Below are 24,120 nucleotides of genomic sequence, written 5' to 3' on the forward strand. Positions count from 1 at the left end.
TACTGTGAAGACTTGAGAATCTAATTTTTATTTGGACACTAGAATGGGAAACCATGTAACCTAAAAGTATTCACAACATTTTCTCAATAAATAAATTCCTTGAATGTTCTCCATCAGTTGATTCTGGGCCATGTGGCATTTAATGGGTAATTTTTAATTCAAAAAAAAAAAGAAAGCATTCATTCTTAGAAGAAATTTAGATGGCTTCTGAGACATCTGGTTTCAAGTAGCATGGCACTCTGCACTCGCAAACTGCTATATTAATTGGCCTACAGAATGGGCTATTTAAGATTAGCTATTTAAATGTTGGGAAATGGCTACTAAATATAGTGATTTTAGTTTGGGGGTAATTAATGGTAACTTAATATTCTAAGAATAATAACAAAATCCAGCTGCTTCTGCCAGATAGAAGCAGTAACAGTTAGGATACTAATTTGCTCCTATAAAAAAGCCCCAAAATGTTTATTTTTGTCTCACACAACAGTCTGAAGATAAGTAACCTCCTGGGCAGATTTTTTGGTATCAAGGGTAGATTCTCCTAATTCCTCTGGCTTCCTTAATATTCAACTCCCATCTCTAGGTCTAAAAAGCCTTTGCTGGTAACTTCTCTCCCACTCCAACATCTGCCAGTGGAAAAAAAGGGGGGAAATGAAGGATGGACACAGAACCCTCCTTGTAGAAACATGACCCAAATGTTGCCACATCACTTCTGTTTATCTCTCATTGGCCACAAACATGGCCACACCTAGCACTAAGTAAGTCTAGGAGATAAGATCCTTTACTGGACAGCATTGGGCACAGTTAAACCCTGTATCTTCATAGAAAAAGGTGAGTATAGACAGTAGGGAGAAAGCAAGAAGGCTTTGGCACAGACCCTCTGAAGGACAGGGGCTATGCCCCATCCACCAAAGCTAAGTAAGGGGCATCTGTCCAGATCTCCCAGTAAGTGTGCCAGGTTGTCCAAATAGAAATAACCATGGAAAGAACATAAGATTCTTATACACTTATGAAAATAGTGCTTCTAATGCAGCTTACCATGACTTCTAGATTCCAGCATGTAAAAAATTATAACATGTACTCTTTACTTCTGATGTTTTTGAATGCCCATTTTTAAAAAGTTTGGGAAATACTAAAAATAAATAAAGAAGATGACAATCAACTACAATTCCGTTAGCCAGAGATAACCATTAAGTTATCTTTAGTTGGTTTTTTATGGCTTTTCTCCATGTGACTTTTCATTTACATAATTGGACTCAGTTTTGCATTATTTATCCTGATATTAATAATATACATTTTTCTCACACCATTAAAATGTGATTCTCAATATCATTTTACATTTGCGTTAATTTAACCTGTAGAAGTTCCAGAATTTTTTCAACATATTACTGATGTTAGATGCTTAGAGTTTCCAGTCTTTATTAGTATTAATAATGCTACTATCATCATCTTTATGCATAAATTTTATCTGATTTTGTATTTATTAATATAGAATCTTAAAGGTGAAATAAGCTCAAATGGTAGGGAAATTTTAAAGGCTCTTAATCTATATTGCTAAATCACTTTCCAAAAAGTGTTGTGAAAATTTCTTCTTAAACTAATTCTACTAGTTTTTTTCATATCACCCTCACTAGCATTATTACAATTAAATAAATTTGACTCAGTTAATTAAATGAAAATGGACATTCACAGCCCCTTGATGACTGATGAGACCTCCTATGGTTTCACATGTACCAGCAATGTTACCATGATTAAATTCTCATATTTTGATCATGTATTCATTTCTTGTTTTAATGCAAATATGAACAGTCCTGCCTGTGTTAAGCATGAAGGCAGGTACAAAGTAAATGAAGATATCTCATTTAATGACCCCTACATTTAATGATATACAATTAATTTAATGATAGCAATCAACTTGATCCATCCAAGAACCTTGAAGAATATATTAAAAAAAAAAAAAAAGAGAAAGGGGCTTGAATTACTGATTACTGAAATAAATGACACCTCACTTATGTGCCAAAGCTCATGCAGTTTTCTCAGAAGGAAAGACTTTAAATTCTTATTTCAAAGCACATTAATTCTTAACCTAGATAAAATCCTAACACATTTGATTATATGATTTTCAAATACGTGGCAGATTAAAAACAGCAAAGTAGAAAGGAGCAGCAGACACATTAACAACAAATAATGGTCACTGAGAAAATGACAAAGAGAAGAGATAGAAATGTTTATAACACACACACACACACACACACACACACACACACACAAAACCCTGAAATTATGTTTTTTAAAATGGTGATGTTTTTAATAATAACAGAGTTTAAGTAAATTATAGCTCATCTATTCAAAGATTATTAAGAAGTCCTTATATTATTTTTACAAGAACTTTTAATGTCACAGAAAAAAATCACTTTTATACTAAGAGGGAAAGCTGGATATAACTTTGCAGATAGAATTTAATTACAAATATGGTTTTAAATAGTTGAAGAGATATCCTGGAAGTACTGTTCTTAGGAACAGTAAGATTATTTTCTGTATCTCGTAAATTTTCTAAAATGTATATGATGTATTACCTTAATAAAGAAAATTAACTTTATGTTATTTTTAGAATAACATTCTGGAAATTTTAGGAGTAGAAATTATTCTTTTGTATATTACTAACAAATAGAATTATACAGTTATTTGTGCTTATAATGGTAGCACAGTTATTCAAAAAAAAAAAAAAAAAAAGAAAACATCAAATAGAGCCACAGGCTTTATTGCAGAAGACCTGGGAAAGTTATCTGTTGTTGAAGATTTTTATCCAAAGTAAAAATAAATGTACAGTCTATGTAACATGTAAAGGTAAACAACAGAAATTCAAAACTCATAGTTAGGGGTGATTTTAAAAATCATTATTTAGGCATTGGTCTTTTGAGGATGTCTCTTGAGTAATATTTAAATTATTTGTTTTATAAAATAATGATCATAGTGACTATGATGGCATTAGAAAGAAAATTCTCAAATTCAGTAAGTCAAACATCATCACATATTTAGTGTGCTCATGCTGTGTAAATACTGAAAACACTATAGAAAGTAAAATTACATTTCAAGCTGGTAGAATCCCAACAATTTTAATCAAAATATTTTTAAATTTTATATACACTCATCTTGCATATGAGAGTGGCATGTTTATGTAAATTGTTTTTGTAGTATCTCTTAATTCGAACTTTTTTGTTTCTATTTTGTAGGAGTAACTTTCAACTACCTTTACTTCGAAGAATTTATAGTATTTTCCAGAAAATTATTAAATGTATGAGCTTTAATAATAGTCATCGGCAGACTTTCTAAACTAACATGAACAATTAAACTACAGTATTTGCTCCATGAAATTATAAATTACAATGGATATATATGTCAGTTTTTACATTATTGTCTCACAGACCCAAAGCTATCCGTTTTTTTTGTTTTGTTTTGTTTTTTGTTTTTTTTTTGAGATGGAGTCTCTGTCTGTCGCCCAGACTGGAATGCAGTGGTGCAATCTTGGTTCACTGCAACCTCCACCTCCCAGGTTCAAGTGATTCTCCTGCCTCAGCCTCCCGAGTAGCTGGGATTACAGGCGCCCGCCACTATGCCCAGCTAACTTTTTTTTTTTTTTTTTTTTTTTTTTTTGAGACAGAGTCTCTCTTCTGTCAGCCAGGCTGGAGTGCAGTGGCATCATCTCGGCTCACTGCAAACTCCGCCTCCCGGGTTCACACCATTCTCCTGCCTCAACCTCCCGAGTAGCTGGGACTACAGGTGCCCGCCACCACGCCCGGCTAATTTTTTGTATTTTTAGTAGAGACAAGGTTTACCAGGTCGGCCAGGCTGGTCTCGAACTCCTGACCTGAGGTGATCCACCTTCCTCGGCTTCCCAAAGTGCTGGGATTTCAGGCGTGAGCTACTGCGCCCGGCCAAAGCTACCCTTTTCTGTTCAGCCTCAGGATGCTGGGGCTGAGTTCCTGCAACCCAAGTTTCTGCTTTGCCAGCAGCCACCTGCTAGGCCCTGCCAGTAGGGGGCTCCAGAAGGAAGCTGCAAGGCCGGAACTGGGAGGAGGAATTCACTTCAGGTACGCTTGTAGTTCCTGTATCTCCTCTCCAGCTACCCTTCCTTGCTGTGGCAACAAGGGTTCATTCCAGCAGCAACTACTGAATTCAGTTTGCAGTTTTTCTAACATTTGCAGAACCAGCTCCATTGTACCCTGCTCTTCAGAGACGCCAGCATTAGTTGGCCGGTGCCCCTTTGTAGAAATCTGGGTTGTGGCTTCACAGGGCTAGGGGTGTCACATTTAACATAAAATTATGGGAAACCCAATTTCAATCTCAGGTAAACAATGAATAAACATTTAGTATAAGTATGTTTCCCGATATTGCATATTTAACTGTGCTTACTGTATTTTATCAGCAGCCATGTGCAGGGTTCCTTCTCTAAGCTTCTGTATTTTAATAATTCCAACTATTTCCCTTTGCTGCCTAGCCCCTGAGTCAGTAGCTGTTTTCTGCTATTGCTTTCTTTGTGATAACTTAGTGTCATCAACTTGATACCTCCATTATTCTTTATATTCTGTCCTGTCTCCTGACTACATTGATTGATACAGTAGAGTTTTTTAAAGCAGATACTGGGATTTGACAAGATAATTTTCCTACCAGTTAATATTCCTGTGTATAAGTTAACAGGGATACTCATATGGTAACTCCGATAGAAGCTATCCAAACTTTAACTTGCGAGTAAATGAGTTCATATACATAATATTTGTAGTTCTATGTGGTTCAGAGACATAAGTCATAGTAAATTCTTGTGCATAGCATATCTCCTTTATCAACATTTTAAGGAATTAAGGACTTACTATGTATACTGTGTGTGTCATTGTAAAATTGTGACAGGAGGACAAGAAGAAAAACAATTTACAGATTTAATGTGGTTGTAAAATACAATTATTAATTTGTAAAATAGATTAATTTCTAGTCCACTTGCATCTGAGTTCTAGACTCTGGGCACTAAATTCATTACTTGGCAAAATAGTCAGCACACCTGGTTATATATTCATCAGCTCAGTGGTATTTACATGGTGTTTGCATTGCTCTTATCAAGTTTATCCAGGCTTCCCATTTACTCTTTACCCTATTCCCACCCTGTTCCCAGCCTGTTCCAACCACTGCTATAGTGGCATCTTTGACTTTAGTGACCACCTAGGTAACCTCACTTTTTCTTTCTTTTTTTTTTTTTTTGCCTAGTATGAAAATATACCCAATACCACCTTCTTTATTGCTGACTGGGAATGTCCTCTCAAAGCTCCTAAAATTCTTGACTGTCTCCTTTTTTGCCTTTCTCTAGCTGGACTATTTTGATTATACCCTTCTGAACTGACTCTGGGTTTCTGGCTTGCCTTGGGCCACATTTCTGGCTTACAGTTTGGGTTTCATTGTAATTCCCTATTTATGGCTGTAGTTGGTTGTACAGTGTTCACTTCAAACCCGTCACTTCCTGCCTGAAATCCTGTAATTGCTAGTGTTTGACATTCGAAACTCCTGATCCCTGATTTGCCTCAAACTTCTGGCTCTCCTGTGTGTCCTTTCATCTTACCTGAGGCCCTGGATTAGCTCTGGCCTTGCTGCTTTCCAGGCCTGCTGAAATAAATGAGCAAGCTATTTCTAGCTAAATAAAATGAGCTAGAAAGAATAGGCTGAACTGAGAGAATTAGGTGACTTTATGCATGTCTGATTATCTACGAGAGTGCAGGGAAGGATGTTGCAAAGCCTTGGGACTGAGCTTGCTGGCTCTGGAGCACTTCCTTGCCTCATCTCATGCACTGCTCATGAGAACCCCATAGGGTAGGCATCACCCTTTCACCATCCAGACTTAAGAAAGAAAGATTAAAGCTTAGAAAGGTTACATAACTTGTCCAAAAGCACATAGTAGCTAAGGAGGGGAGCCAGGAATTAAATTCAAGCTGTTTCTGGTCCCACTTTTTTTTTTTAATCACTATGCTATATATGCTTGATTTCATATAATTGAGCCCTCACAATCTGTCTAGTTCTTCAATTCAGTGAGTTTTGGGGTAGTAATGATTGGTTTCAAGTCCAAAAAGTTTCACTGGTCTCATGGCAGCAGAGCAAATGCTTTTATCATCCTAGGCTCACAGCAGAAGCATGTGCATTCTGATTGACCACACACTTCCCGCCAGCTGCATAAAATCACTATTCATGATTTAGATTGGAAAGCATACTGATGGCCAGCATTTTCTTCCTGTGTATGATTGACTGGCAGCTGTGACTCTAAATGCACAGAACTATAGGCATGAGAATAATTTCAACAAGTATCCTTTAAAGCATTATGTCTTTTTTAAACCATCTTAGCCATCTTTAAGTGTATGGTTCAGTAGTGTGAAGAATATTCACATAATAGTAAAAGCCATCTCCAGAACTGTTTTGGTTTTGTGAATCTGAAACTCTATACCCATTAAATCACAACTCTCCTTTTCCCCTCCCTCAATTCTTTTGTTTCTATGAATTTGACCACTTTCTATACCTAAGAAAAGTAGAATCTTACATAGTTATCTTCTTGTGACTAGCTTATTTCACTTTGCCTAATATCCTCAAGGTTCATCCATGTTGTAGTACATGACAGGGTTTTCTTTCTATGACTGAATAATATTTCATTGTACATATATACCACATTTGTATATCTATTCATTCATTGGTGGACAAGTAGTTTGATGCCACTTCTTGGCAATAGTGAATAGTGCTGCTGTGAACATAAATATGCAGATATCTTATAGAAACCTTGCTTTCAATTGTTTGGAATTCATACCAAGAACTGAGATTATCGGATCCTATGGTATTTATTTATTTTTTTAATTTTTTGAGGAAACTCCATACTGTTTCCTATTGTGGTAGCATTATTTTACATCCTACCAATAGTACATGGCAGTTCCAATTTCTCCACATTCTCACCAACACTTGCTATTGTCTGTAAAACATTATATCTTTTTCTTTTTTTAATGATGCAATATAATTTTTATTTCAAGAAATATGTGACTTAAGCTAATATTTTGTGAGCAAAAATGCAGGGCCAATATATTTAAATATTATCCAGCCTTTCAAGTGTGTTCACTTTCAGAAGCTAAATATTTTCCTGAACATTCCTTAAGTAAATGAATGACTTGCTCTTTTGAACCTAAAACACATGCTTGTTTCCTCATTCTTGTGGCTACCACTGTCTTACCCAGCACTAAAAGCTTCTTAAAATTAGTCAGAGGAAGACAAGTGGGAAGGTGTAGACTTCTCACTTCAATAGTCTGCTAAAGATGGAGGAAAAATATGGTGCTATTCAAAGACAGTCTAGACTTAAAGATTTAGAATTTTGGATGGAAATAATCCGGTGAAATAGCAAGAACATTTGAAAGAGAACTTGACAAACCACTGCTGCAGAAAGCTGAATTCCAAGGAAATATGCCCAATATCCATGAAGCTGAGAAGTAAGTTTCTGAAATCATGCCTTTCTATTTTTTTTTAATTTTTCATTTGCCTAAAAAATGTCAACCACTTGTTGAGGCAAGCGGAGTCTTGCTACTGGAATGTATAAATTAACCAAATAGAGTATTATGCAAATAATAGTAGATTCGGATATTTGTTTAGTGGCCCTTTTATGGAGTATTAGAAATTGCCAACTTTTGACTTTGAGAAAAGAATATGTGTGTTGTCAGTAATATTTTGATTCTGTGTTTTTTTTTTAAAAAAAACCTTTTAAACATTTGTCTTATTTCTATTAATGTCACTTGATTTTTCTGGTTTCCAATTCCTGTTTCATTCATAGAAGCTTCTAGAAGTAAATGTCTTTTTTCATTTTAAACATGAACGCAGATGAATAAAATGAACTTCTAATACATTTAATGTCACACTTGAGACAACCATATTGAGATTCTTAAAAAATTGCTTGTATGGAGAAAAGAAGATTATCATTTTCAGGGCCAGGCACAATGGCTCACACCTATAATCCCAACTCTTTGGAAGGCCAAGGCAGACAGATCATCTGAGGTCAGGAGTTCAAGACCAGCCTGACCAACATGGAGAAACCCTGTCTCTATTAAAAATACAAAAATTAGCTGAGTGTGGTGGCAGGTGCTTGTAATCCCAGCTACTAGGGAGGCTGAGACAGGAGAATCGCTTGAACGTGGGAGGTGGAGGTTGCAGTAAACTGAGGTCGCACCACTGCACCACAGCCTGGGCAACAGAATGAGACTCTGTCTCAAAAAAAAAAAAAAAAAAAAACCTAAAAAACAACAACAACAAAAAGAAAATTATCATTTTCTAGCCAGTGACTAGTAAATTTTCTAAACCTATCAGATAATTTATAACAATAATGGATTTAAAAAACAAGCAAGACAGATTTTTTTCTATTGACATATATATATATATATATATATATATGAAGGAACATATATATATATATGAAGGTAAATACTGATCAAAATTCAAAATCCAGGGCAGCTCACTTGGAGAGAAATAAAAATAACAAAGACCTATTAGGTAAAACAAGATTATTTGGAACTATAGGAGTAAGAGTTAAGAATAAACTAAAAACAAAGCACTTGTTCTTTGTGGCAGCTGAAAATAGCAAACCTGGGGACAACAAGGTTTTTCTTCCCATATTCTCTATGCTGGTTAGCTGGCATGATGACTAAAACAGAATTGTGCCTGCCATTGTAGAGCTTACAATTATTTCTTCTTGGTGGTAGTATTCCACAATGGAGAGCGTTAAATAAAAGTAGGCAGTCTTTTACAACATTTTAATTTAGTCTTTGTTAATGTTAAAGAGACAAATTCCTTATTGAGTTTCTGAGCAAAGCTTAATAATAATGAAGTTAGAGGAAAAACACCCACCACATTTTATAAAGTAGTGAAAAAAGCTTATTAAGCCACAGAAGTGTTGTTTTTCCTCTTTTTAGAAAATAACCACTAAAGCTTATCACTTGACAAGCAGGCTTATTTTACAAAGAACTTACTAATTTATAAAATAATAAGACTTTGGAGAAGCATCTTCCTTATCAATTGTCTTATACGTTTCAGGGACATGATGGACCAAACCAATGTCACAGTCTCTTGGCACCACTTTTAGGATATGAATATATTTGGCACCCTCCCCACAGTGTTCAGCCTTGGGGTTCTCAGCCAAAACTAAAACAAAGTTCCATTTCCATTGCTTCTCTACTTCTATGACATAATGTGGTTATGCTATTTTAAACTTATTCCTATTGATTAAGTTTTTAGTTGTTAGGAGGGAGTTTTTTTTGAAAAAGACTAAAATTATTTGTGTCTAAATATATAACTTTCATAAACAGAGTATGAATTAGAAAGTATAGTTTTTCCTTAAGCTTTAAGGGCAATTCATAAGGCTAAGTATTTTTCATATAAAATATAGTCACTTGATTCCACTGACTCGTGACTCTAATGGGTTAAGTTCCCCAAAATTTACTCTCATTTACAAGCCTATTAAACTTCTTTAAATACTTCAAGCTAAATTACAAATTTATATGATTTTTAACAAACACTTTAAATGCCTGATAGGACAAACTTAAAGTGTAATAAGCCAATGCTTGCTAAACACTTAACCTCTGTAAAACTAATAAATCAAACCTATAAATGTAGTAAATTAGATTCTCCTAAGCATTTCAAACATCTTAAAATCAGGACTGGAAGCAAGAGTTCCAGTAAAAGATGGCGGATTAAATGCAACCATTAAGGTCTGTTCCATTTTTATCCTCAACTAAAATGACAGTAAAAGGATTTTCTAAGAAGACATATGCCAAAAGGACCAAAACCAGAAGAGGAGGTAACAGTGATAAAATTTCGTAGTTTGAAGGCAATTTAGCAGACCCAAGAAAGCTAATGCTAACAGTGGGAATAACTGAGAAGCACCCAATTTACAGTGTGGAACTCCTGAAAGTAGTTGGTGATGTTGAGTATTTTAAAAAGTAGGAGTAAAGATAAAGCTAAAGTATCTTTTCGAAAAGCAGATTGACCTAGGAGAGAAGACTTAACGTTACTGACATTAAGAATTCTCTTAGGACCAGCTCAATCAGAGCATGCTACAGTCAAGACCACAGTTACTGCCTCACTTCCAATCTGCTTTTTTAGTGTCTTGTTCTTAAATGGGAAATTTATTGAGGTTCAACTCCTAATATGAGAACACTGACTAAACCAAGGACACAGAAAAGAAAAATTGGAAGGAAAAGAAAATACTTGGGAAGAAAGAAAACCATCTAAAGAGATTCTTAGCATTCTCAAAAGGATAAAATAGATTGTATCCAGGAAACCAAAATAGGGTGATACAAAAAGGGATATTCAGGAAACAAATTTCTAGGAAGTTAAAGGTATAATTGCATAAATGAAAAACCCAGTAAAAGCTTTGAAGGAAATGTTTCTGAAAGTAGAAAAGAGATGAAAATAATAGAGAAAAAGTAGAGAAACCTGAGGGCCAGTCATGGAACTCCATCATCCAAACAGGATCTCCAGAAAGAGATACCAGACTTAAAAAAAGAGAGGGGTGTTCGGGGGAGGGGGGAGAAAAGTCAAAGAAATAATGTGAGAAAATTTCCCAGAACTGAAGGACATGAGTTTCCAAATTGAAAGGGCCCAGTAGCAAGAACAATGAAAAAAAGGCTCACACTCAGGCATATTATCATGAAACTTCAGAAAACTTGTTTCAAAGAAAAGATTCTTAAATCATGAGGGAGACATATTCATTCAATGGATCAAGAATCAGAATGACATAGGACTTCTCTATAGCAATACTAGAAGCTACGAAGTAAGAGTATGCCTTTAAAATTTGAATGGTAAATGGTAAATTATTTCCTATCAATAGTTTTACTATCATTATAAATCAACTATGAGTAGAATAAAGCCATTTTCATATATGCACATTTTAAAAATTTCCCTCCCATTACAGTTTCTCAAGTGCTCCAGCAATATGAGAAAGAAAAAAAATGGAATCCAAGAAATAGGAGATATCCATAAGGAAGAAGTGAAGGGAATCCTGCACAGGGTGATTCTAAGACAGCTATACCACATAAAAACAGTCTAGGCTGGTGCAGGTCTGAGAAAATAATTCAGAGTGGTTGGTTCTGGAGAGTAGGAAAAAGGGTGGGATTGGGGGGATTGCTTTATTTTACAAGTCAATTAGAACTAGCTATTTGCTTCTTTAGTTTATGTGGAACTTTGATAAAAATTTAAACTTATAAAGAGACAAAACATAATTTAAATGCCATGTCAATTAGAAAATCCACTGTTCCTCTATAAACTCAACTTGAATAATGGTTATTCCTTCATCATCTCTGCACTTTTATGGTATACTTTCCTGGGGTGAAAAGTTGCTTATTTGACTAAGGAGAATTTTATCATCATCTCCAGTCTACAACAGCAACTATGACCATAGGTTTGTGTTGTGGATGGCAATTCTAGAATAGGGCTTCTCAGAGATATTTCTAGGAAAATTCTATCTAAAAACAAGATAGCAATCCAAGTCCCTTCTTTCAGTGGGACTTCTAAAGCCCACTCCTTTTCTTACACCCTAGTGCATCCCAGGTTATTTTATTCACTATTTTCCTGTTATCTCAGGCAACTTTAGTCTAAACCAACTTGCTAGGTTGTATATCCATTACCCAGATTAGAATTTCTCTTTTCTACCTGATTGAATTCAGTACTCTTTTAAAATTTTACATTATTTCATTATCCACCATTCTACATGCTATAGTAATTTAATTCAGTTCCTCATGGAACTTATGTTACATATCAGCAGAAGGCAAAAACTATATAAATGAACATGAATGTAGGGCATGAGTAAATTGTAGAGTAAGTTAGGTAACAGATGCTATGGAGTAAAGAAAATGCCAAGCCAGGTAAAGGAAGTCAGAAGTGCCAAAGAGGGGATGTGTCACAATCTTTAATGGTAGTAAGAGTAAGCCTCATTGAGAAGATGACTTAAGTAAGTAAAAAATTGAAGGAGGTAAGGGAGTTAGTAATGTAGATACATTGGGAAATGGCATTCCAAGAAGCAGGAAAGTAAGGCCTTGAGATGGGAGCTTGCTTTGCATATTTCAGAAATATCCAGGTACATGTTACTAGAGTGAACAACAGGAGAATATATGGGAGATGCCTTTGGAGAGATAATGGGGGCTAAATTATATGACATCTTAGAAGCTTTTACTCCCAATTAGACTTTTTACTCTAATTCTGGGCTAGAGTTTTTACTCCCAGTGAAATGATAAGTGATTAGTGATTTTGAGCAATGATTTGGCAAATCTGACTTACATTTTGAGAGACTTGTTCTAACTAGAACGTGGAAAACAAATTGTTGGAACATCAAGATTGGAAGCAGACCAGTTAGGAAGTTATAGCCATGATTCAGGTGAGAAACATGGTAGTTGAGACCAAGATGGTAGTGCTAGAGGTGGTGAGAAGTGGTCACATTCTGTATATACTTTAAAGATAGAGCGGACACATTTTCCTGGTGAATACGATGGGGTGAGTGTGAAGGAGTAGAAAGAAAGAAAAAAAAAGAGAGAAGAAAAACAAACAAAGCAGTCATGTATTCCTCCCCCAAGTTTTGACCTGAGAATATAATGGATTTGACCTCACATACAGTGGGAACAGTGAAGGTGGCACAGGTTTGCAGAGAATTCAGGAGTTTACTTCTGAGCATAGTCAAGTTTCAGGTGTTAGCTAAATCTCTAAATTGAGAAATGGAATAAACTAGCTGGCTATTTGAATGTGGAGTTTGGGGGAGAAACTGTACTAGAAATATTGATTTAGGAGTCTTCAATACATGGGTGATAGCAAAAACCATGGAAGAGCTCAGCAAAGGAGAAAGCATAGATAGATGATCTGTGCTAAGGCCTAGTATTTCCAGTGTTGGGTAGGAAGAAGTAGACCTGGAAAAGAGACTGAGAAGGAGCAGCAGTGGAGGAGGAAAATCAGGAGATTGTGATGTCCTGGGGGCGAGTGAGGAAAGCAGGTGGGAAGAAGATAGAGATAAATGTGTTGAATGAGAACTGAGATGACTGTTTATCAAGGAGGAGGTCATTGGTGACTTCAGCAAGAGCAGTTCAGTGCAGTGGTGGGTCTCTAGGCCCACTTAGAATGGATTTTAAAAAGAGCATGGAAAGAGACGATTTAGAAATGGTAATTAGGGAAAATTTCTAGGATTTTTGCTGTAAAGAGAAGCAGTAGAAAGGAGTGTTCATCCATAGTGTAAATTGGGTCAGGAGAGGGTTTTATTAAGATGAGAAAGTAACAGAGTATTTTTATGTGGATTAATCCAGTAGAGGTGGAAAATTTGATGATATAGAGGAGAGTAAAGAGTTTCAAGATTGTCTCTGAATAGGTGAGAGAGGATGGGGATACATTAGCTTAAAGTAGAAGCATCTGAGAAGGTTGAGTCGGTGGGCACAGATACTGGTAGGTGGGTCGATGTGGTATTGAGTCTGTGGAAGTTCTCTAATTTTTTTTTTTCAGTAAAGTAGGGACCAAGATTATCAGTGGAGATTAAGGATGTTGGAAGAGTTTCTTGGGTTTGCAGGGAAAGAACAAATGGCGTGAAATTATCCTCTAGGAGAGTAGGAGAGTGAATGAACTATGAAAATATACTACAAAGATCAGGCAGCACTAAAGTTTCACTTGAAGCTCACACTCATAAATATCTTAGCAAAGCTTGCTTATCATTATGACAGAGTTATATTTGAAAATACAAAGACATCTTAGTTATGGTTGTTATTTTAAGGTGGACTTTAAATAAAGAATGTTCTCAAATGATGGGCTGCAGCACTTCTCAGAGAAGTCCCAGTAGATAGGTTTGTAATCATCATTGGGGTTCTGGTTGAGGCGTGCTCACACCTGTGGCCATTGCTGTGCCTGAATAAACTATGTAGCATGGTTTTTCCTTCCCTCCTCTTCATGAAACCTCCCTCTCTTCTTGCATGTTTTCTTTTTCTTAAGGGTATAGACTGGAACATTAATATTTGAATCACTGAGTATAATCATTATTTGAGCTGTGGAAGAGGAAAAGAAAATGGTACTAGGATGCCTAGTACAGAGAAGGAAAAGATAGATATTTAGGTAAAGAATTACTTAGAATAATAGATCCGTGAAGGTAAGACCAGTTGAACCATCTTCTAAATATAAACAATTTTTTTTTTTTTTGAGACAGAGTCTCGCTCTGTCACCCAGGCTGGAGTGCAGTGGCACAATCTCGGCTCACTGCAAGCTCCGCCTGTGGGGTTCACGCCATTCTCCTGCCTCAGCCTCCCAAGTAGCTGGGACTACAGGCACCCGCCACCACGCCCGGCTAATTATTTTTGTTTTTGTATTTTTAATAGAGATGGGGTTTCACCATGTTAGCCAGGATGGTCTCGATCTCCTGACCTCGTGATCCGCCCACCTCGGCCTCCCAAAGTGCTGGAATTACAGGCATGAGCCACCGCATCCGGCCAACAATTTTTTTTTTTTTAAATAGAAGAAGAAACTGCAGTGATGGGTTGGAAATTCAATATATCTCAAAGGACTCCTAACCTATTTTGAGTTATCTTTGATAGGACTGCCAGATATTGGGTTAACTGAGCACTGAAGCTCTTCTTTAATGATCTAATGTGCCAAGCAAGGAGGAAAATGTTCATTGGTTCTTGGTCTTCATTTATGTGCAAGAAATTCATATAATTTCTCATTTACTTTTTTTTTTTTTGAGACAGTCTTGCTCTGTCACCCAGGCTAGAGTGCAGTGGCGCGATCTTGGCTCACTGCAACCTCTGCCTCCCGGGTTCAAGCAATTCTCCTGCCTCAGCCTCCCGAGTAGCTGGGAACAGGCATCCACTGTGCCTGGCTAATTTTTGTATTTGTAGTAGACAGGGTTTCACCATCTTGGCCAGGCTGGTCTCAAACTCCTGACTTCATGATCCGCCCTCCTCGGCCTCCCAAAGTGCTGGGATTACAGGTATGAGCCACCGCGCCCAGCCTCTCATTTAATTTTAAACCAAGCAATTTCTTTTAATATGGTATAATAGTTAAAAGCTTCCTATCAGGGCTTGTATATCTCAGCTGCACAATACTAGGCAGATTACTTAATCTTTCACTGTCTGATGTTTTAATATCTAACTCATAACTTTGTAACCAAAATGCAGATTCCATCACACACTGTGTGCAAAGTCCAACTAACAAGAGCGATGTCTGGTATAAAGAAAGTGGCTTTATTCCAAAGCTTAGCTTAGGGAAAGAGGTGCAGGCTCCTTCCTGCCTTTAGTGGACTGCTTCACTTTTGGGGCAGAAAGCCGAAGCTTTAAAGGGGGACTTGGTGTGAACAGCATGCAGGGGAGAGAGCGAGCAGGTGCTGATCATTTTGGTGCCTTATCTACTGGGTGGTGAGCTGGCACCATCACAGGCAGATGTGGGTTGTAAAATGGCCATTGTCTCAAGACACCCTCCAGGTGGGAGAGAGTTCCATCGCAGGGCACACCTTAGGTTGTAAATTGGCTGTTGTCTCTAGGCAGCTTGGTGAGACAGAGTTCTGGCCCTGGAGCCTTTTTTTTTTTTTTTTCCACAGCAGAGACAAGTGAACATTTATTTTTATGCCTTTCTTCCTATGTGTATTTCAAGTCTTTTTCAAAACAAGGCCCCAGGACTCTCCAGATTCAATTATGTCCTTGGGCTTGGTTGACTGCTGCAGGAGTCTTAGGGAGCCTTGTACAAATGCTAGAGTGACTCATTTACCAACAGTAAACCCTAGGATAGATCCAACAAAGCAGGAATGTGCCGATTTCAGACGACGCAGCACCCAATGTAGAAAACGCTGGAATTTTTCCTTGGAACTAGACTGTGATGAGAGGTGCTTGACATGAACATAAGCTACTGTCTTTTCTGCTTTTTGAGATGGAGTTTCGCTTGTTGCCCAGGCTGGAGTGCAATGGCATGAACTCGGCTCACTGCAACTCCCGCCTCCCAGGTTCAAACGATTCTCCTGCCTCAGCCTCCTGAGTAGCTGGGATTACAGACATATGCCACCATGCCCGACTAATTTTTCTATTTTTAGTAGAGTCGGCATTTCTCCATGTTGGTCAGGCTGGTCTTAAACTCCCAACCTCAGGTGACCCGCCCACCTCAGCCTCCCAAAGTGTTGGGATTACAGGTATGAACCACCATGCCCGGCCAGCTACTGTCTTTTCTTTGACCCTTCCTTTCCAGTTTTTGAAGATAAAGCAGGAAATAATCTTCTCTGAAGATACTTGATAAAAATTCCCAAAACGACAAAACACATGCTTCCACTTCATTGATAAAAAATTTAATGCAGTTTGGCACCTAAGAGTATGACAACAGCAATAGAAAGTAATTTCAAAGAGTTACGATTTCTTCAGCAAAATAGATGATTCATATCTTCAAGTCCTTTTTGAAATCAGTTATTAATATTATTCTTTCCCCATTTCCATCTAAATGACTGCGGCAATACAGGTTTTTGGTTTTTGTTGTTGTTGTTGTTGTTGTTGTTGTTTGAGACGGAGTCTCGCTCTGTCGCCCAGGCTGGAATGCACTGGCACGATCTTGGCTCACTGCAATCTCTGCCTCCTGGGTTCAAGCGATTTTCCTGCCTTAGCCTCTCAAGTACCTGGGACTACAGGCATGCGCCACCACACCCAGCTCATTTTTGTATTTTTAGTAGAGACAGGGTTTCACCATGTTGGCCAGGATGGTCTCAATCTCCTGACCTCATGGTCTGCCCGCCTTGGCTTCCCAAAGTGCTGGGATTACAGGCATGAGCCACCGTGCCCGGCCAGCAATACGGTTTTTAGTTACTCGACATCTTTAAGCCTATAACTCTTAGGCTATGCATAGCCCCATGTCCTAATCAGGCATTCACTGATCCCAGCAGGTCTCCATCTATTTGTACCAGCCTCTTCTTTCCTCCCAATCTCAAGGTTACTCTTAAATACTAGTAAATGCAAAAAGAACTTGTAAAGTGGCAAGGCATGGCCTATCAAAAGTCAGCCCAAGGGCAGTTTTCAGCCCTGCCTCACCTGGGTCTAGCTCAGCTGGCGGGTGAGCTGATTGATGTGTTCACCCCGATAGCCAGGTGTGCCCATCTCCTTGAGGAAGCCCACTCTATTTTTGGTAGCATGAGTGGACCTGGAGCTTTTGAGATAAGTACACATTTTGAGATAAGTACATAGTTAGATAAGCTTGCCCTGTGGGGAGCATCTGGTGAAGGGAAGGTAAAGGGTATCATTGCGTTTCTAAAGAACTAAGTCTGGATTAAGAAAATGTGGCACATTTACACCACGGAATACTATGCAGCCATAAAAAAGGATGAGTTCTTGTCCTTTGTAGGGACATGGATAAAACTGGAAACCATCATTCTCAGCAAACTATCGCAAGGACAAAAAACCAAACACCACATGTTCTCACTCATAGGTGGGAATTGAACAATGAGAACACATGGACACAGGAAGGGGAACATCACACACTGGGGACTGTTGTGGGGTGGGGGGAGGGGGGAGGGGGGAGGGATAGCATTAGGAGGTATACCTAATGCTAAATGACGAGTTAATGGGTGCAGCACACCAACATGGCACATGTATACATATGTAACAAACGTGCACGTTGTGCACATGTACCCTAAAACTTAAAGTATAATTAAAAAAAAAAAGAACTAAGTAGGAGGTAGGAAACAAGGGGAAAGGAGGAAAGAAAAATTATTAAAAAATAACTCTTACTCTTAGAAAAATGGGAGTACTTGGTTACAAGTCTAGTCCATAAATTAAATGTATAATTATAGATAAGTTACCTTTTACCACTTATTTCCAACATTCCAAAGGTCACACAGCTGGTAAACATAACACAGCTGGGAATCATAAATATTGCTACCACCACCACTACCCACCCAATTATTGGGGGAGTGGGGAGGGTCCCATGACTGTTTCCCAGTTGGATGAAATAAGAAACCAAAAATGAGTTTTTCTTGATCCTTGAATTGAAAACTCCATTTTTACAGAAAGAAAAGACATTTTACAATCCATTTCTCTGAAAACATCCGTTCTTTATCTCACAGGATGTAATAACTTGATGGGAAATTTAAACGCAAGGTTATTCATAAAATGGTAAATGAGGGGACACCTGGCGTGAGAGCTGCAGCGGCATTTCCGACACACTGCTGCCCCCTGCTGCCTGATACATCGTTTTCCTTCTTCACGTGTACTCAAAATTAACACTGTCTGTCACCCAGATTATAAAATCATACTGAGGAGAAAACTGAGGCCCTGAAAGTGATCTGGATGACATGGATAGTAGAAGATTTAGATTATGGAAAAGTCACTTCTTCCTGCTTTACCATATTGCCTTTTCCCTATTAAATTAAAAGTCAACAAACTACTGTGTGCCTACGTAGAAGTACTCAAAATGGAGAAGTGAAAATCAAGATCTTTGCACTTACATAACTCATATTCTTGTGTGAGTAAACAGCCAATAAATAAGAAAAAATCAATAAATAATTTAAGAGAATAATAGATGTATTAAATAGTAACAATGATAAAGATTTCTGGAGTACTAGGAGAACATGGAATTCAAGGCACTGTTCCCAGTGCTTTCCATGATTTCTTTCATTTGATTCTCACTGCAACCTGCAAATAGCTACTTCACTTTACAGATGAAGATATTGAGGCAGGGCTAGAATGATCCTAAGTGATGGAACCAAGATTCGAAACCAAGCCACTTCTGACTCCAGAAGTGTCTAGGGTAGTCTGCTCTGAGAAGGCAACAGTGAAATGAAGAGAAGAAGCCAGGCTTTTGAAGATCTAAGGGAAGAGCAAGCACAAAGGCCTGGAAGTGGAAGTGAGTTTGGTATAGCAAGGTATAGGGAAAAACAAACAAGCAAACAAAAACCATCCCATATGATTGTACTAAAGGAGCATGCAGAAGACTAGCAGAGGCCAGGTCATGGTAGGGAGCTTGGATTTTATTCTAAATTGCAAGAGGAAGCCATTGAAGGATTTCAATCAGAGCACCAACCTGATTTATGGTATAAGGAGCTCACTCTGGATGTTGAAAGGAAAACAGATGGTAGGATAAGAGTTTCCTGTTTCTACCATTTATATAGACATTGCATAAACGCTAGCAATACTGAACTCCATGTTTTCTAAATGTGACCCCTACAGTCTCCTGTTCCTTTTTCAGGTGTTTTCCTCTGTTTAGAATCCCTTCCTTGAGTCCTCTCCTTTCCATTGCAGCCTGCCTTTTAAGATTTCTTTTGTGAAGCTTTCCCGGATTCTTCAATTATATAATTTCCATCCTTTGAACTCTGTATATTTCAAGTATAGCTTTTCTGTGTTAACCTCTGTCCTAGGATATCTGTTATTTGACTGCCTACCTCACGGACTGTTAGATCCCAATCTTGAGATCAAGGGCTAGGACTTTCAGGCCATCCTGTATAAGTATGCACGTTGACTCCTTCACAAGGGCACCCGACCCGCCGGAACTCTGCTAACCAAACTGAGCTCCCTGACACAGGCTGCACCCATGAAGGGGAGAGTCCTTTTTTGTCTAATTTGTATAGAGATATCATATAAAATAGTGGATCCAGAATTGATTTCTTTCATCTTTGCATCCGAAACAGCACATCACATCTAGCAATAGAAGTATACACATAGTAGATATTTTATCAAACCTTTTTATTAATAATTGATTCTGATTTGGCCAGGCACGATGGCTCATGCCTGTAATCCCAGCACTTTGGGAGGCCAAGGCGGGCGGATCATGAGGTCAGGAGATCGAGACCATCCTGGCTAACACGGTGAAACCCCGTCTCTGCTAAAATACAAAAAATTAGCCGGGTGTGGTGGCAGGCGCCTGTGGTCCCAGCTACTCGGGAGGCTGAGGCAGGAGAATGGCGTGAACCAGGAGGCAGATCTTGCAGTGTGCAGAAATCGCGCCACGGCACTCCAGCCTGGGCGACAGAGCGAGACTCCATCTCTAATAATAATAATAATAGATTCTGATTTAACTAAGTCCAGTTGTGGAAAGTAAGATGAAAAACTCAAGGTTTATGGTATGCTTTACTCATTTACCAAGGCTATATGCAGAAAGGAATGGGATTGGACATCCTGCCAAGCCCCCCTGCACAGCCACCATATCTCAATTGCTTGATAGGCTGTGGTTTGTGTAAAAAGAGGGAAACAAAGCGTAGATGACAGATTTAAGGTACGTCAAACTGGAACAGGCCGTTATGTTGAAGTGTTAGGACACTGCAGTGCACCACAGTCTATGATACCATGGTTTAGAAACCTTGAGGACTTTTGTTAAGATTGCTGATGACATATTTTCAGCAAAGGTCACAATATCCAGGGGAAGTAAAATATAAGGGTGTATTCAATTGCTGAGGCTTTATTTTTTTTTTCTCCAGCTAGCAGTGTAAAGGACATGTGTCTCTATTTTGGGAGCTGATTTCTTCTTAGTCCCCATTAAAGTGAAACTCTAATAAGGGTATGTCAGCACCAATGTTTCTATGTAAGAGGACCTCCTTGTCATCTTTGAAATTAATTTGAAATTAAATGATTAATTCATCGTCTGTTTCCACTGGAAGTTTGTATAAGTGGTCCTAAAACCAGCAAAGCTGGGGATAGTCCTCTTTGTTACATGCAAGACTGGAAGAATCATGTCAGACCCCCACGGAAGCCTTGGGAACCCACCCTTAACTGCTGCTTTTGTTTTCAGAACCTTATTAGTTGAGAGTTGTACCTCCTGTTTTCAGACCTCCTAGTGTTCTCATCTGCCTTTCTGCCTTCAGTGTGAGTACATAATCTCTTCTCAGAGCAAGTTTAGTTGAAAATAAAGTTTTGGCACCTAAAAAAATAAGAGGAGGCGACCAGCAAGACTGTGAGGCATGGAATCTGGAGCACAGGGATACTGATAAGAATGAACTGATTCATATTGCTGCTAAGACTCAGAACTGACCTATGAAACATAGCAGAGTGGGCACAAATGAACCAGAGCCGGGCTCTCCTCCCTTGGAAGGTGCTCAGTATTTACACAATGCCCCTTGTCTGTAAGGGCAAGTACTACATCAGAGGGAAATTGGCAGGGGAATTGTTGGAACTGGAAAGTATCAGAGTGATGAAAGAGGCAGCTCTTGTTTAGCTCTGTTAAGCTGTTGCTCTGCAGATGCCTGCCCATTGCTGCTAGATTTTTCAGTGGAAGTTGATGTTCTGCATTTTTATGAAACACTTTCTATTCTTTAAATGTTGTCAATCAATTCAAAAAAGCTTTTGAAACATATAGGCAAAACCACAGTCTTCTTTGTGTGGACGACCAGTTTGCAACCCTTGCCTTAAAATTATAACCAACTTCTGTTCTCTAGACTCTGAGAAAGAAGCATGCACAGAACTATCATTTTGCTTTGTTAAAAAGCAGTCTGATCATTACCTTCTCTGTTTAAAGAAGTATCATTTCTCCTTAAGAGTGTAGAACTGGCCGGGTGCGCTGGCTCACGCCTGTAATCCCAGCATTTTGGGAGGCCAAGGAGGGAGGATCACGAGGTCAGGAGTTCGAGACAAGCCTGGCCAACATAGCGAAACCCCGTCTCTACTAAAAATACAAAAATTAGCCAGGCATGGTCGTGGGCGCTTGTAATCCCAGCTACCCATGAGGCTGAGGCAGGAGAATCACTCGAACCCGAGAGGCAGAGGTTGCAGTGAGCTGAGACTGCACCACTGCACTCCAGCCTGGGCGACAAGAGTGAAACTCCGTCTCAAAAAAAAAAAAAAAAAAAAGAAAAGAAAAAGAAAACGAAAGAGTGCTAGAACTGTAACTCATGGGGGGAAAATAGGAAGAAAGGCAGCATTTATCTTGTTTGTTTGTTTTCTGGTCACTTTTACCAGCATGGAATAATGCTGGAAATAGCCTTTCTTCCTTGCTTGTAAATAATCCCACATGCCTCATAGAGATGCAGCATATCCCATAAACATTTGTGCCAGGTAAAACTCCTAGAGCAGTATTCAAATTCTCAAAACTTGCTGAAATTAGAATTCAGTACACATTTGAGTATTTTTGGAAATGGAATCTGTAGCATGTCTAGCTACAGGTGCAGGTCAGGGGAGACTGGTGAATATGAACCCTTGAAAAAGAAAGTGTTGAATAAGGATTTAGATTTTTGAAAAATGAATTCTAAATATTTCTTCCTTCTCCTAATTTTGTAATTTCAAGTTATCATTTATTTTTAAATATAAATTTTAGCAAAACTTTCTACTGACGCTTCTTTTCTTTTATTCATTCCGTTTGTTCAATAAATATTTATTGAGCACCTACTAATACCAAAGATCAGTCTAGGCACACAAGATCAACAGGTTATCAAAACAGATGAAAGGGCTGGATGCAGTGGCTCACATCTACAATCCCCACACTTTGGGAGGCCAAGGTGGGCAGATCACTTGAGATCAGGAGTTTGGGACCAGCCTGGCCAACATGGGGAAACTCTGTCTCTACTAAAAAATACAAAATTAACTGGGCATGGTGGTGTGTGTCTGTAATCCCTGCTACTTGGGAGGCTGAGGCATGAGAATCACTTGAACCCAGGAGGCATAGTTTGCAGTGAGTTGAGATCACACCACTGCACTCCAGCCTGGGGACACAGAGTCTCACTCTGTCTCAAAAAAACAAACAAACTTATGAAGAGCCCTGCCATCAAGGAGCTTACAATCCAGTACTAATAAATAATAAATTTATCAGCAAATTAGAAGCAAATGAGTGCAATGGAAGAAGTAAAATTGAAGCAGGTTAAGAGGGATCAAAAATAGAGGGTGTACACATTGTATTTTTAGAGAGGTCAGAGTGGGCCTTGGTGACTTTTCAGCAATGACTCATAGAGAGGAGGTTGGTGTTTTTTTAATTGACTTTCCCACTCCATAGAGTCAATGGTTCTCTCCATTTATCCAAGTAGTATACGTTAAATGGTAAAGAACTAGTACGTGGATGGGGCCGGGTGCGGTGGCTCACGCCTGTAATCCCAGCACTTTGGGAGGCTGAGACGGGTGGATCATGAGGTCAGGAAATCAAGACCATTGTGGCCAGCATGGTGAAACCCCGTCTCTACTAACAATACAAAAATTATCTGGGCATGGTGGTGTGCACCTGTAGTCCTAGATACTCAGGAGGCTGAGGCAGGAGTATGGCTTGAACCTGGGAGGCGGAGGCTGCAGTGAGCTGAGATCGCACCACTGCACTCCAGCCTGGGGACAGAGCGAGACTGCACCTCAAAAACAAACAAACAAAAAAAAGAACTAGTACGTGGTATGTACACCTCATAGAACACATCTTTAAAACAAAGAGGGAAAGTGCTATGGTCTGAATGTTTATGTCTCCCCAAAATTCATATGCTGAAACCCTAAACCCCAAGACGATGCTGTTCAAAGGTGAGCCTTTGGGGGGGTGATTAAGTCATGGGGGCAGAGGCCTCATAAATGGGATTAGTGTCTTTACAAAATAGGCTCAGGAGAGACCCCGTCACTCCTGTGAAGTTAGAGTGAGATGATGTCTGCCTGTGAGAAAGCAGGCTCCTTCCAGAACCTGCAGGCACCTTGATCTTGGAATTCTCAGCCTCCAGAATCATGAGAAATAGATTTCTGTTCTTTGTAAGCCACAATCATTTTATGATATTTTTGTTATAGCAGGCTGAATGGACTAAGAAAGGAAGACAAATTTAACACAAACAGTTCTACAAAATAAACTGCTTAAAGAATATCTGTTTTGGGTATTTTATATTTGTACAATAAGGGAAAGGACTATTTAAAAAATAGTTTTCTCTCAAGCTTTTAGCTTGCAAAGTTCTTCTCACACATTTTTATTTGATGTTCGTTATAACTCATTGAGACAGGTGGAATTATTTCCATATTCTAGGTGAAAAGATGAAGCTTACAGGTTTGCTTAAGTCACTCCCCCTTAAGCGATCCCACATTGCCCCTCGGATTCCCCATTCCCCAGATCTCTGATCACTATTCACAAGGCCCTTCACGATCTGGCTTCTGCTTCATTTCCACAGCATCTCTTGCTAATTTCCTCTTTACTGCCCACACTGCCCCA

The 24,120-nt window shown here is 38.6% G+C and overlaps 1 protein-coding gene and 1 long non-coding RNA gene across 9 annotated transcripts in view; one reads left to right on the forward strand and one right to left on the reverse strand.

The window, feature by feature from the left end:
* Positions 1-24,120, forward strand: part of OXR1 (oxidation resistance 1) — a 482,517-nt gene that overhangs the window by 303,578 nt on the left and 154,819 nt on the right. For 2 of the 7 annotated variants that reach the window (XM_017013591.2, XM_047421919.1), the window contains exon 1: positions 7,269-7,496. The exons of the other annotated variants lie outside the window; for them this stretch is intronic. In XM_017013591.2, the coding sequence (XP_016869080.1) occupies positions 7,484-7,496 (13 nt within the window). In that variant the 5' untranslated portion in view covers positions 7,269-7,483. Of the gene's footprint in view, positions 1-7,268; positions 7,497-24,120 lie in introns of those variants that run through there. 7 annotated transcript variants of the gene reach the window in all.
* OXR1-AS1 (OXR1 antisense RNA 1) overlaps positions 1-24,120 on the reverse strand; it is a 140,687-nt gene that overhangs the window by 56,722 nt on the left and 59,845 nt on the right. The gene's annotated exons all lie outside the window — the stretch shown is intronic.

Source organism: Homo sapiens, chromosome 8 (genome assembly GCF_000001405.40).
Source record: "Homo sapiens chromosome 8, GRCh38.p14 Primary Assembly".
Lineage (NCBI taxonomy): Eukaryota > Metazoa > Chordata > Mammalia > Primates > Hominidae > Homo > Homo sapiens.